This window comes from Homo sapiens, chromosome 6, assembly GCF_000001405.40.
Source record: "Homo sapiens chromosome 6, GRCh38.p14 Primary Assembly".
In the NCBI taxonomy this organism is placed as follows: domain Eukaryota; kingdom Metazoa; phylum Chordata; class Mammalia; order Primates; family Hominidae; genus Homo; species Homo sapiens.
Genome location: NC_000006.12, coordinates 148159702 through 148175010, shown reverse-complemented (window position 1 = coordinate 148175010; position 15309 = coordinate 148159702). Strand labels below are relative to the sequence as shown.

At 41.5% G+C, this 15309-nt stretch overlaps 1 annotated feature.

Annotated features, from left to right (window-relative positions):
- Positions 374–960: an enhancer, noted in NCBI's record as "NANOG hESC enhancer chr6:148495187-148495773 (GRCh37/hg19 assembly coordinates)". NCBI's record gives its function as "activates a minimal SCP1, AML or CMV promoter by ChIP-STARR-seq in naive H9 embryonic stem cells {active_cell/tissue: H9 hESC(naive)}" and the evidence as "EXISTENCE:reporter gene assay evidence [ECO:0000049][PMID:30033119]".

Here is a 15309-nt window from a genome sequence, read left to right as displayed (position 1 = left end):
TCTTGTGCATATTTGGATGCATATAAAATAAGCATCCAGGAACAAGATGGGCCTAAGAGAGATCAGGAGAGGAAGCACTCTTAGGGCAGAAATATCAGAAGGGTTCCTCCCACTTCATCCTCCTGAGTCACTAGGAGTACAGGTGCATGCTACCATGCCTGGCTCATTAAAATTTTTTTTTTTTTTTTTGTAGAGACAGGGATCTCACTATGTTGCCCAGGTTAGTCTTGAACTCCTGGGCTCAAGTGATCCTCTCACCTTGGCCTCCTAAAGTGCTGGGATTACAGGCATGAGCCACTGTGCCTGGCTGTGATCGTGCCACTGCACTCCAGCCTGAGCAACGAAGCAAAATCTTGTCTCCCCATCCCACTCCCCCCACCAAAAAAAAGAAATCTTAGAAGGCCCGATGGAGGCTTTAAGGCCCAGAAGGCAAGTGGCTTGAATTTCTTGAGCCAATTCTGATTGGGTAGTAAAGATTACCTGGAGCCTGGCCTGAAGAAACTGGCACTTGGCTGCTAGGTGTGGGAATGAAGAGGTGCGCTGCATGACTCCTGGGTGTGCCAGACACCGAGACCACACACATGCTTGGTTCTGAGCTCTGCGGAGGCTCAATGGAAACAAATGCCTTGGTTGATGCGTAACACTGACTGTGACATGAGAGGGGGATGGGAAGACCCCCTGCTGTAAATTCAACATCCCTGCCTGATAGCTGCTCCTTCCTGCTTTCATCCACGGCCAGACACCAGCCAAAGGTGATGCCATGCCCATCCCTCTGCTCCTCAACCATCGATGCTTTGTTCTTTGGTAACTGATGGAAGCAGGCGATCAATATTGTCTTCTTGTTCTTGTTAGGTTTACCCTCCCCACTGTTGGCATCTAAGCAGCCCAATGCAATTTCATCTTATTAAAATGATGCTCAAATGCAAAACTTCTCTTAACCAGTGGAGTAGTAGAGAGAAATGTGAATGCTATGATTCTATTTAAATAATACAGTGTATGCACTCAGTAATGTATCTGGCTACTCATATGTAGGTCAGATGTAGGTATGTGCATAAGATTGAGGCCTTTGTTTTGATGTAAATATTTACTATAATTAATATTGCTTTTGCCTACTCAGCATCTGGTTCTCCTTCTTTGGGTAGATTAGTCTGATTTTTCCTGGGAGAACAAATCCTTTTTCACTCTTACCCCTTATATTTAAGGAGATGACACCACTGTCAGCTCTGGGGTTGCTCAAGTGATCTGGAAGCAGCCAATAAGTGCTTTTTGTTCCTCTTGCATAGTGTTTGGTTTAGGGGTTGTTATGGGGAATTGTGTCTTCCTTAAAAAGGATGGGTTGGAGTCTTAACCCTTACTACTTCACACTGTGGCCTTATTTCGATATACATTTTTTCCTCCTCCTCCTCCTCCTCCTCCTCCTCCTTCTCCTCCTCCTCCTTCCCCTCTTCCCCCCTCCTCTTCCTCCTCCTCCTCCTCCCCCCTTCTTCCCCTTCTTCTTCTCCTTCTCCTTCTTCTTGTTTGGAGCCCTCGAACTCCTGACCTCAAGTGATCCACGTGACTCGGCCTCCCAAAGTGCTGGGATTATAAGCATGAGCTGCTGCATCTGGCTGAATATAGGATTTTTATAGAGGTAATCAAGTTTAAATGAAATAAATCACTGAGTGGGACCTAATCCAGGATAACTGGTGTCCTAATAAAAGGGGAAACTTGGACACACATAGAAGAGGATAATGTGAAGACAGAGAGAAAGCCAGCCACAGGCCAGGGCTGCCAGAAGCTGGAAGAGAGGCAGGGAGCAGAGGCTCACAGCCTCCGAAGGAACCAACTCTGCTGACATCCTGATCAACTTCAGGCCTCTAGACCTGTGAGACAATATATCTCTGATGTTTAAGCCACACAGTGTGGGGTACTTTGTTACGCAGCCCTAGCAAACTAATATGGGGATGATCAAGTTCAGCAAATCGGAATGAATCCCAGAACTTGTATTGAAGCAACTGGGAAAGAGAAGATGCCTTTTCCCTCATAGTTGTAAGGAAGTAACAATAGAGCTTCTGGGGCTGCCAAGTAGCCAGGATGTGTTTGAGGCTGAAGCCAGCACAGGCAGGCAGAGCTACAGGTTCTGAGAGAGGAAGATGGGATCCTGGTGACATTGTTTGAGTCATGAGATTAAAATATTTTGAAGTAGCTTCCAGGCCCTGAGTTTTCCATTACATTGGCCAGTAAATTCCCCATTTTTGCTTAATCTAGGTTGAGTTGCATATCCTATCACTCTTGTTCAAGAGGTCCCAACCAAGGTATTTGGGGCATGACTGAGCTGCCTCTGGGATGACAGCTGCCTCAGCTGCTTCCTATTATTGCATGAATATGGCTCTAAACAGTAAAGGGAGGCATGATGGGAAATCCTCATCACTATGTCCTCCGTATTACATATCATAATGAGACAATGTTGTACCCACCTGAATCATGGACTCCTTCAGAGCTGTCATCCTGTAGCACACACAGAGTGGCTTGAAAAGAGTATGTGTTCAATAGCAAAGTGTGAGATTAAACCGAATCATTCAAATATGACTGACACAGGTCAAATCTACTTTTGCAGTGACCTACGACACTTTTTTCATGCTATTTCCAAATGATACTCCTTGAGACAGATGCTTTTTAAAAAGAATAGGTTTTGAAGCATCACTTACACTAAGTGTAATAACACTAAGAAATAAAAATACAGGATATTTCAAGTTCACTGATGGTGAAATATTTCTACAATCTTTACTTTGGGACTCTTGTGCAGTCACATACAGGAAAGTCTTTTTTCTTGTAAGGAGAGTATTCACAGACTGTCACAGTGGGATGGTGCTGAGTGGGTATGCAGACAATGGGGGAGATACTGCTAGGCCAGATTGGGACTATAAGTCTCAATATAATTGAAAGTCACCAGTGAAAATGTGGCCCAGAATAGTCATGACCCCGAGTGATTGCCATCTGTTGATTATTGGTCTCAGTCCAATTTTTCAGTCTAGTATCCACATTAAAAAAGATATACACATATATTAGCATCAAAATAATTATCCACAACAGCATCTGTGCCAAGGACAGAATGAATGGGCCATTTGAAACGCATTGTCCATTCATGCCTAAAGGTGACCTCTGCAGTAATTCTGGGGCATTCTCTTAGATGATTTTGCTGGCTTGGAGCAAGATTCTGACTTGCTGAGTTCTGAGATAAATAATGGATTATTCCAAACTAGAACCCAAAGGGAAAAATATGGCTATCCATTATTTATTTTTTATCAAGGATATCCTTTATCCAAAAAGTGATTTAGAGCAGCTTACATGGTTGCACATAATATAGCTATCTCATATGGATTTAAAATAAAAACAAAAAGTAAGGCAAGGAAAAAATGTGCATGAAAATCAGATAGTGCCAGAAGTGAGATTAGTATCAAAAAAGAGTTTTGCTTGTAGTTGGCTTTCTGGCATAAAATATGAAGAGGAAAACATGATCAGTTGCAAGAGTCACAGTATTTATATAGTAAAAACAAAGAAAGAAAGAAAAAAAATCTTCAATAGTCCAAGTAAAAAACTCTGCCTGACACAAGACTTTTTACACACAGGAATTTTTCCTTGTTATAGTAGCCCACAAGGGATATAGCAGAACAAAGACCTAGGCTCTTTCCTTTTGCAGGACCTGTATCCTACTTTCTCCTCCCCCTTGTCTTCCCTCAATAAAAGTCCTCAAGGATCTAGAACCAGAAACATCATTTGACCCAGCAATCCCATTACCGGGTCTATACCCAAAGGATTATAAATCATTCTATTATAAAGACACACACACACATATGTTTACTGTAACACTATTTACAATAGCAAATACTTGGAACCAACCCAAATGCCCATCAATGATAGACTGGATAAAGAAAATGTGGCACAAATACACCATGGAATACTATGCAGCCGTAAGAAAGAATACGATCGTGTCCTTTGGAGGGACATGGATGAAGTTGGAAGCCATGAGTCTCAGCAAACTAACACAGGAAGCAGAAAACCAAACACCACATATTCTCACTCCTAAGTGGGAGTTGAACATGAGAACACATGGACACAGGGAGGGGAACAACACACACCGGGGTCTGTTGTGGAGTGGGGGCAAGGGAAGGAGAGCATTAGGACAAATGCCTAATGCACGTGGAGCTTAAAACCTAGACGACGGGTTGATGGGTGCAGCAAACCACCACCACGGCACGTGTATACCTATGTAACAAACCTGCACATTCTGCACATGTATCCCAGAACTTAAAGTAAAAAAAAAAAAAAAAAAAAAAGTCTTTCCCTAAGTTAATGTTTACCAAGCCCTCACTATGAGGCAGGCACTGTGTTAGTTACTTTCCCTATAGGGTTTCAGTACATGATGATAACACAGTTGTGACAGGGTGGCAAATAGTATTGGCCTTCTGATAGATGAAGACAGGTTTGGGACAGGAGTGACATATCTGGGTGGGTCAGTAGGTCTGTCTGATTCCAAAGTTTCTGTGCTTATCAGTAGCAATATGCAGCTTTTAAAGAAGGGGCTGAAAGATAGCTAACAAAACACCTCTAGACAGTTCCAATTAGGGTTATATGTTTTTAAAGCACTCCCCAAAGGAACAGATTGTGTTTGATGATTCTAGCAGGAAAATGAGGCGATGATCTTGCTAACAGATCAATGTGTGGGGTCATCAAAGTTTATTGTGGATCATGTTTTTTTTTTTTATGAAATGAAAGCCTAAAATAGACCTTGTCAAGAGTAAGTTTCAACACCTTTAAGTACAAAAAGCTTCACTTTGCTGTCATTTGAACTTCTCAATTTCATATTTAACAGGACAGAAACAATCAGAGATGGTTCTGAGTGTGGAAATCTGGCCAATAAAGACAGTTTGTGAGGAGGCCAGGCTGGCTGTTTCTCCAAAGTTTCTAGAGCGGTCATGCCTATTAAATTGACTGCACGTGTGTTGCATAGCGTGCCTGTACTGCTCAGAAAGGTGACAATGACTGAGACAGCATTATATCTATCCCCTACATTTGTAGCAGACAGAGCCAGAGAAATCTTCACAGCAGGGGATGTTACCAGAACAATATAAAGGGAGCCTGAAGAATGACCACAGTGCTGCTGGTTTCCAGGCAATACTAGCAGCCGACACATCAGAGTTCAGCGCCTTAAAAGGAGCTACAATTGGTGTGTGCGAGCAAAACTGTCCTGGGATGAAAAGGTAGCGCCAATGAAAGCACTGAGCTTTGCAAACGGAGGCAATGGTTACCCCTCCCCTCCCCAAATTTACGTATAGACACACATACGCGTGCGCACACACACATAGAATTGAGATAATCTTCAATGGCATTGTCATGTGTTTAATATTTAGCTCCTCCATCTAGATCACTGTTGTTTGTCAAATCACCAATGTACAGAAGGCAGGAGGCAGCCTCCATGGCTTCTCATAAAACCTAACATGGAAGCATTCTCATGAAAATGTGTACTGATGAAGGCGATCAAGAAGATAAAATAGTAATGGATGTAGAAAAAGAACACTACCTATCTTGGCAAGAACCGCTCTGAGTTGAAAATAGGTTAGCACTGGCGGTGGGGTGAAATTAGGGAAGTAAAGGCAAAGCAGAAACCGGGAGGAATCGGAGCATCTATCTACCCATCCTTCCTGCAAGGAGTCTCCTGAGATGTTTCCGTAACAAGTTTGTCTATTCACAGTAGGAGGCATTTCAAACTGATCTGTTTGAGGATGCATTTAATTACTGTCATGTTGATAATGAAGCGTCTTCTCACCCTCCCACCTACAGACTTAATTGTATGTACACCCATCTTTTCTTGTAACCTCACTTCCAGATATCTTTCCTTCCATTCAAAGCTAATTTCAAATACTCCCCTGTTCCTCCCACTTCCTCTTAGAGCTTTCACCATTAATTATTCCCTTTCCTGTCCTGTACTTGGGGGGGAAAGGCTGTCACACAGAGATGCCCAGAAGAATCTGAACAAACAGGCCTTGCTCCGCTTCCCCCAGTTTGTTATCATTAGATCATACCCGTTTGTCCTCCAATCATACTTCTGCAGGACTGTCCATAAAAATACACAGATATCCTCATTTCTTTCGGTCTTTATTTTCGAAGTCTCCTGTGTCAGGTAAAAGTTAGGTTAAATAAATCTCTATGCTTTCCTCTTGTTAATTTGTGTTTTGTGATAGGGGTCTCAGCCATGAACTGTGATGAGTGAGAAAAAGATATTACTTTTTCTCCCTCCTAGCGCCACACTTCACATAGTCACCCAAGACAGAAACCAGAGCGTCATTGTCAACACTTTGCAATCAGAATCCATATTCAACCTGTCACTAAACCTTGCTATTTCTACCTCTTTAAGAGCTGAGTAGCTGTCTTCTCCATTTCCACTGCCTGCCTCAGGATATGACCATGGTAGCCAGGATTTATGGAAGACTTTCATAACAACTCTTTTTCTTTCTTTCTTTCTTTCTTTCTTTTTTTTTTTTTTGAGACAGAGTCTTACTCTGTTGCCCGGCTGGAGTACAGTGGCACAATCTTGGCTCACTGCAACCTCTGCCTCCTGGGTTCAAGTGATTCTCCTGCCTCAGTCTCCCAAGTAGCTGGGATTACAGATGGCCATCACCATGCCTGCCTAATTTTTTTATTTTTAGTAGAGACGGGGTTTCACCATGTTGGCCAGGCTGGTCTCAAACTCCTGACCTCAGGTGATCTGCCCGCCTCGGCCTCCCAAAGTGCTGGGATTACAGGCTTGAGCCACTGTGCCTGGCCGACTCTTCCTGATTCCAGTCTTGATCCCTTTGCATGTATCCTCTCCCTTCTTACATTTCTATTGCTCCCAAAGAAGTGAACTGAAACTCTGGCGAAGTCACTTACCATCAACGACCACTCTCCAGGAGCATAACAGTCAAGCTTCCTGACATGGAGCAAAGGTACTTTTAGCATGAGCCTTTCCCTGACCTCTTCAGGACAGCCACCCTTGATTTCCTCCCCATGCACCTTACATCTAGTACAGCAAGCTGCCGCCAACCCTGTGCACAGACCTCTGGCATTGCACCTACCAGGCCGTTCTGTTCCTGTCTTCTATTTGACTCCCCTCAGCCTGAGCAGATGCAGGTGAGTGATTCTGAACCTTCAGATCCTTATGTCTACAGAGAAACTGGTACCTAGTAAGTGGTCAATACATTTTGGCTCCGTGAATAAATAAGTGAATATTCGATTCTCTTCTGACTGCTGGGGATGGCCTTATCTGACAGCTAACGTCTAAACAAGTTTCCTAGAGTGATTAACACAAGCAGGCAAGGATGAAAGAAAGAAATGCAAAACACAGTGATCCTGAGGCCCAGAGAACCAAAACAGGGAAGGGCAGAGGGGTGGGGACACGGCAGGGAAAGTGCCTGCTACATGGGTCAGCTTTGCTCTACACACCTTGGTTGGTTCTCTTTGAGATCTAGTTTTATTCATATAAGAAATCATTTCTTTAAGTTCAGTGCCACATATGAGTTTCATTATAGGCCAGCAGAAAGCAATAAAGTACCCTGGAGACAAAGTAATAGCATGAAAACGTGTGGAGCTATGGTCCAGCTTTGTATTTGAATAAGGACTATATTTAACACAAAAAGAAAACCTCCCAGGACGGATGCGGTGGCTCATGCCTATAATTCCAGCACTTTGAGAGGCCGAGGCAGGCGGATCACTTGAGGTCAGGAGTTTGAGACAAACCTGACCAACATGGTAAAACCTGGTCTCTACTAAAAATACAAAAATTAGCCCGGTTCGGTGGCGCATGCCCGTAGTCCCAGTTACTCGGGAGGCTGAGTAATATTTTATTTTGTTAGCCCTATTTCATGCCCATTTCTTATGGATTAATTTAAATTCCAATATGCAAGTGGTAATAATATGGCCATTGGTAGTCCCTTCTGTGAATCACAGATTTTACAGTAACGTGGAGAAACAGGCATTTCTTCATCTTCGATGTCTACTTGTTTGGGAGCAATTTATCAAGGAGACTGTTGAACCATCAAGAGTAAATTGTGTACTTTGGGGTGCAAACTGCTAATTGCTAATGCATTAATTAAAAGATTTCTTGTGCTTTTTTGCTCCAGGAAGCAAAGCCTATACAAATGTACCCAGTCACCTTTTCCTGACCTGCCCCTGCTCCCACCCCTTCTTGGATATTCGGAATGAGAACACGAAGATAATTTGTATGCACATTTCTGACAACCATTTTAGGGTTCTGTAATGATAAAGAACAATTAACAAAGGCTTCCCTGGCATTGACTAACCACTTTCTGGGCAAATGGTTTAATTAACGAAGAGGCTGCTTCCTTTGGTTTAATCACACAGCATTTAAGTAGAGGCCGCTTAGGCAAATAAAAGGCTGTTATTTCTTTTGGGTATTTTGCTAATGTCTGTCTGTCCACAAGATGGCAGTAAACGTTTGATGAGTTTCTATGATAACTTTAGTCTTTTGTGTGTAAATGTGTGTGTATGGAAGGGGTGGGGGTGAGACTTCCTTTAGAAGAAAAATTTTATTTATTTGATGTTTTACATTGTTTTACACTTTATGTCAAATACGTCTACTAGTATATAATTAATTTAAAATATCTTCAAGTGGGTGACAGTTACACTGTTTATCCTAACAGTTCAGCTGTGTATCCTAACAAAAATAATATCGTCTCCATCTCAACTGCATCTAACAAAAAGGATGAACAAAAAGTTAACATTTGATTATGAGAAATTAGAGAGTTCTAACTTTACTGGCTAATAACTTGGAAATATATGAACAAACTGGTTCATTTCTGAATCCTAGGTGAGTGGGTGCTATAAGCAAGAGTTGTGGGTACTATATGCAAAAGTGAAACACACTAGGATCTTCTCTGTAAGAAGCTTTAGACCTACAGAGACTATCCAAGTGAGTGTGTTCACAAAATTGTTATACAAGCTAATGGGTGACATAAGGGAGATATGAATGAGAAACTGTGTCACTAATAGTAGAGGAGAGATGATTTTTAATTGGTGGGAACCAGGAAGGCATTCTTGGAAAGTGGGGCACTCAATATTTGCTCTCACCTAGGAGTGGGACCCAGACTTGTGAGTTGCCTGCACATAGGTGTGAGAGTAAAAGCTCACCTGGACAGGTGAAGAATACCTGGGGATGAATAGGTCAGTTGACTTGGTTGCAAAGTGTATCTAAAGGGTAGGATTGGGAAGAGTGAGCTTGATGGTTGAATGTGAGTTTTAGAAGTTTGGATTTTTTTCTGGAGGCAATGGAGGATCACTAAAGGTTTTGAGCTGAGAAGGAGCCTAGTGGCAGTGGCTCAGAAAGAACAGCCTGGAATCTCTGCAGGATGTATTGAGGTGGAGAGACACTGGCTGTGTGATAGTGTGTATAGGTCTAGAGAAAGGTGGTGTTATGGTCATATTCAAGCTACAGTCCTGAAGCAACGACCATTAACTTCATTTCTTTAGGTGATTTTCCTCATTCGAAAGCAAAGGCTTGGACGAGGTGGTTCTTTTCAGCTCTAAAAATTACAGGCCTGGCTAGGATAATAGCAGGGGTATGGAGACAGGTGAATGGATGCAGGAGAGATTAGCAAGGCAGGCAGAGAAGCACCTGGTCTCTGACTGGAAAGGGAATGGAGGGACATTGGAATGGAAGCTTGGCAGGAAGCAGAGAAGAGAGATAAAGGCAGAAGAACATTTTATGCAAAAGAACATTATATGCCTAGAGTCACAGTGGGATTGTAAGTAGAGAATGGCAACGCCAGCTATGTGAAGAATATTTTCAGATTTGAACACTGGCATTATTTGTAACAGTTAAATCATAGACAAAAGAATTGTTTAAATGTATCTGAAAGATTTGGGTAAATTATCTGAAGAGGTAGCCGAATACTGTCATGGAGGTTTCCATTCCTTTCTTCTTGATACATGTAGTATTCAGCACACATAACATTGCCAGAGAAGGCAGAAAGGCTCTTAAATGCAGTATTGGAATGGACACAAAACAGGCAGGTCTTTGTATACAAAGATGGCTACTATGGGCCTCATAGGAGCTGGGCTCCCAGCTGCTTTCCTGCTGGTGGTGACCTATGAGGCCCAGGCCACCACGTGTGCTCCCAGAGCCACAGCCACCGGGAGTGTGGAGGTAGCACAGGCTTCATGAGTCATCATTGAAGACCCAGTTCTCAGTCCCAATGTTATCTCAGCAACGAAAGCAACCCAGTGGTGGGGGTTTCTCTCCACCCACTTCTGACTAGATCGTTGTGCATAAAGGAAAAATGTGAAGTGAACAAATAGTTATTGGGGAGTGGATTCAAAAGTGCAATTTCCAGAGCAGTCACAGGGTAAGATCAGGCAGTTTCAGGCTAATCTCCAGGACCACAACACTGGATGATGACAGCTGATGCCCAGAGAGGGGTGACTATGGTTGGAGGGTGGACCCTGATGTGCCTTCAGATTGCCAGAGATTAAAGTCTTTGTGATACTGCTCAGTGTTCTGCATTGAACGTGGACATTTTCATTTCATGTGCTGAATGTAGTGAATTCATTTCTAGAATGTTCAGTTTATCAGCATATCACATCCTCAACCTTTCTGCATCAACAGGCATTTGCCATATAATGAACATATATGTGTATTTGTTAAGACAGGAATTTATGCCCTTTAATACAGGAAGCTAAAACATTCCTAAGTAGGTTAATTTTACAGTAAAATCTCTGGCCATCTTCACTTCCATGTTTGTATTTGGAACTGCGTATAAATCTGCATTTGGTCTCCAAACTTTCTAACATCTAAAATCCTTTTCCTGAGAGTCTGAAGTGATTCAAACATCAGGGATTGGAGAAAAGTAGGGAGTTTGAAGACAAATATAAAAGGTAAGATCACAGCTTTGGGAAACCACGAGTAACTTCAATTTTCTAATAACAAAAATATTAACTATTCTTTTACTACAAACATTATAGAAGTACTATACAACTCTTTCTTCTTCTTCTTCTTCTTTTTTTTTTTTTTTTTTTGCCAAATCCAGTTTTCTTTCTTATTTTAAAAATACTAACGTAATGGTTAAAAGCAATATTTTCTACAATGTGCTGAGAAGTTAGTAGAAGATATGGCTATGAGGTTACTGAAGGTATAGGACATAAGAAAAAGAAATTCCCCAAGGAAGCAAGGACTAAAAGTGATATGGTTTGTCTGTGTCCTCACCCAAATCTCATCTTGAATTGTAATTCCCATTGTCCCCATGTGTCATGGGAGGGACCTGGTGGGAGGTAATTGAATCAATGGGGCAGTTACCTCCATGCTGTTCTCGTGGTAGTGAGTGAGTTCTAATGAGATCTGATGGTTTTATGAGGGCCTTTCTCCCCTTTTGCTCACTATTCTCCTTGCTGCCACCATGTAAAGAAAGACATGTTTTATCAGAGACTAGGATTGCAACCCCTGCCTTTTTGTGTTTTCCATTTGCTTGGTAGATCTTCCTCCATCCTTTTATTTTGAGCCTATGTGTGTCTCTGCACGTGAGATGGGTTTCCTGAATACAGCACACTGATGGGTCTTGACTCTTTATCCAATTTGCCAGTCTGTGTCTTTTAATTGGAGCATTTAGTCCATTTACATTTAAAGTTAATATTGCTATGTGTGAATTTGATCCTGTCACTATGATGTTAGCTGGTTATTTTGCTCGTCAGTTGATGCAGTTTCTTCCTAGTCTCGATGGTCTTTACATTTTGGCATGATTTCGCAGTGGCTGGTACCGGTTGTGCCTTTCCATGTTTAGTGCTTCCTTCAGGAGCTCAACAAAGATCAAAAGAGCAAAGAAGGCCATTACATAATGGTAAAGGGATCAATTCAACAAGAAGAGCTAACTATCCTAAATATATATGCACCCAATACAGGAGCACCCAGATTCATAAAGCAAGTCCTGAGTGACCTACAAAGAGACTTAGACTCCCACACAATAATAATGGGAGACTTTAACACCCCACTGTCAACATTAGACAGATCAACGAGACAGAAAGTTAACAAGGATACCCAGGAATTGAACTCAGCTCTGCACCAAGCGGACCTAATAGACATCTACAGAACTCTCCACCCCAAATCAACAGAATGTACATTTTTTTCAGCACCACACCACACCTATTCCAAAATTGACCACATACTTGGAAGTAAAGCTCTCCTCAGCAAATGTAAAAGAACAGAAATTATAACAAACTGTCTCTCAGACCACAGTGCAATCAAACTAGAACTCAGGATTAAGAAACTCACTCAAAACCGCTCAACTACATGGAAACTGAACAACCTGCTCCTGAATGACTACTGGGTACATAACAAAACGAAGGCAGAAATAAAGATGTTCTTTGAAACCAACGAGAACAAAGACACAACATACCAGAATCTCTGGGACACATTCAAAGCAGTGTGTAGAGGGAAATTTATAGCACTAAATGCCCACAAGAGAAAGCAGGTAAGATCCAAAATTGACACCCTAACATCACAATTAAAAGAACTAGAAAAGCAAGAGCAAACACATTCAAAAGCTAGCAAAAGGCAAGAAATAACTAAAATCAGAGCAGAACTGAAGGAAATAGCGACAAAAAAAAACGCTTCAAAAAGTTCATAAATCCAGGAGCTGGTTTTTTGAAAGGATCAACAAAATAGATAGACCGCTAGCAAGACTAATAAAGAAAAAAAGAGAGAAGAATCAAATAGACGCAATAAAAAATGATAAAGGGGATATCACCACTGATCCCACAGAAATACAAACTACCATCAGAGAATACTACAAACACCTCTACGCAAATAAACTAGAAAATCTAGAAGAAATGGATAAATTCCTCGACACATACACTCTCCCAAGACTAAACCAGGAAGAAGTTGGACCTCTGAATAGACCAATAACAGGATCTGAAATTGTGGCAATAATCAATAGCTTACCAACCAAAAAGAGTCCAGGACCAGATGGATTCACAGCCGAATTCTACCAGAGGTACAAGGAGGAACTGGTACCATTTCTTCTGAAACTATTCCAATCAATAGAAAAAGAGGGAATCCTCCCTAACTCATTTTATGAGGCCAGCATCATCCTGATACCAAAGCCGGGCAGAGACACAACCAAAAAAGAGAATTTTAGACCAATAACCTTGATGAACATTGATGCAAAAATCCTCAATAAAATACTGGCAAACCAAATCAAGCAGCACATCAAAAAGCTTATCCACCATGATCAAGTGGGCTTCATCCCTGGGATGCAAGGCTGGTTCAATATATGCAAATCAATAAATGTAATCCAGCATATAAACAGAACCAAAGACAAAAACCACATGATTATCTCAATAGATGCAGAAAAGTCCTTTGACAAAATTCAACAACCCTTCATGCTAAAAAGTCTCAATAAATTAGGTATTGATGGGATGTATCTCAAAATAATAAGAGCTATCCATGACAAACCCACAGCCAATATCATACTGAATGGGCAAAAACTGGAAGCATTTCCTTTGAAAACTGGCACAAGACAGGGATGCCCTCTCTCACCACTCCTATTCAACATAGTGTTGGAAGTTCTGGCCAGGGCAATTAGGCAGGAGAAGGAAATAAAGGGTATTCAATTAGGAAAGAGGAAGTCAAATTGTCCCTGTTTGCAGACGACATGACTGTATATCTAGAAAACCCCATTGTCTCAGCCCAAAATCTCCTTAAGCTGATAAGCAACTTCAGCAAAGCCTCAGGATACAAAATCAATGTACAAAAATCACAAGCATTCGTATACACCAATAACAGACAAACAGAGAACCAAATCATGAGTGAACTCCCATTCACAATTGCTTCAAAGAGAATAAAATACTTAGGAATCCAACTCACAAGGGACGTGAAGGACCTCTTCAAGGAGAACTACAAACCACTGCTCAAGGAAATAAAAGAGGATACAAACAAATGGAAGAACATTCCATGCTCATGGGTAGGAAGAATCAATATCGTGAAAATGGCCATACTGCCCAAGGTAATTTACAGATTCAATGCCATCCCCATCAAGCTACCAATGACTTTCTTCACAGAATTGGAAAAAACTACTTTCAAGTTCATATGGAACCAAAAAAGAGCCCTCATTGCCAAGTCAATCCTAAGCCAAAAGAGCAAAGCTGGAGACATCATGCTACCTGACTTCAAACTATACTACAAGGCTACGGTAACCAAAACAGCATGGTACTGGTACCAAAACAGAGATATAGATCAATGGAACAAAACAGAGCCCTCAGAAATAACGCCACATATCTACAACTATCTGATCTTTGACAAACCTGAGAAAAACAAGCAATGGGGAAAGGATTCCCTATTTAATAAATGGTGCTGGGAAAACTGGCTAGCCATATGTAGAAAGCTGAAACTGGATCCCTTCCTTACACCTTATACAAAAATCAATTCAAGATGGATTAAAGACTTAAACGTTAGACCTAAAACCATAAAAACCCTAGAAGAAAACCTAGGCATTACCATTCAGGACATAGGCATGGGCAAGGACTTCATGTCTAAAACACCAAAAGCAATGGCAACAAAAGACAAAATTGACAAATGGGATCTAATTAAACTAAAGAGCTTCTGCACAGCAAAAGAAACTACCATCAGAGTGAACAGGCAACCTACAAAATGGGAGAAAATTTTCGCAACCTACTCATCTGACAAAGGGCTAATATCCAGAATCTACAATGAACTCAAACAAATTTACAAGAAAAAAACAAACAACCCCATCAAAAAGTGGGCAAAGGATATGAACAGACACTTCTCAAAAGAAGACATTTATGCAGCCAAAAGACACATGAAAAAATGCTCGCCATCACTGGCCATCAGAGAAATGCAAATCAAAACCACAATGAGATACCATCTCACACCAGTTAGAATGGCAATCATTAAAAAGTCAGGAAACAACAGGTGCTGGAGAGGATGTGGAGAAATAGGAACACTTTTACACTGTTGGTGGGACTGTAAACTAGTTCAACCATTGTGGAAGTCAGTGTGGCGATTCCTCAGGGATCTAGAACTAGAAATATCATTTGACCCAGCCATCCCACTACTGGGTATATACCCAAAGGACTATAAATCATGCTGCTATAAAGACACATGCACACGTATGTTTATTGCGGCACTCTTCACAATAGCAGAGACTTGGAGCCAACACAAATGTCCAACAATGATAGACTGGATTAAGAAAATGTGGCACATATACACCGTGGAATACTATGCAGCCATAAAAAATGATGAGTTCATGTCCTTTGTAGGGACATGGA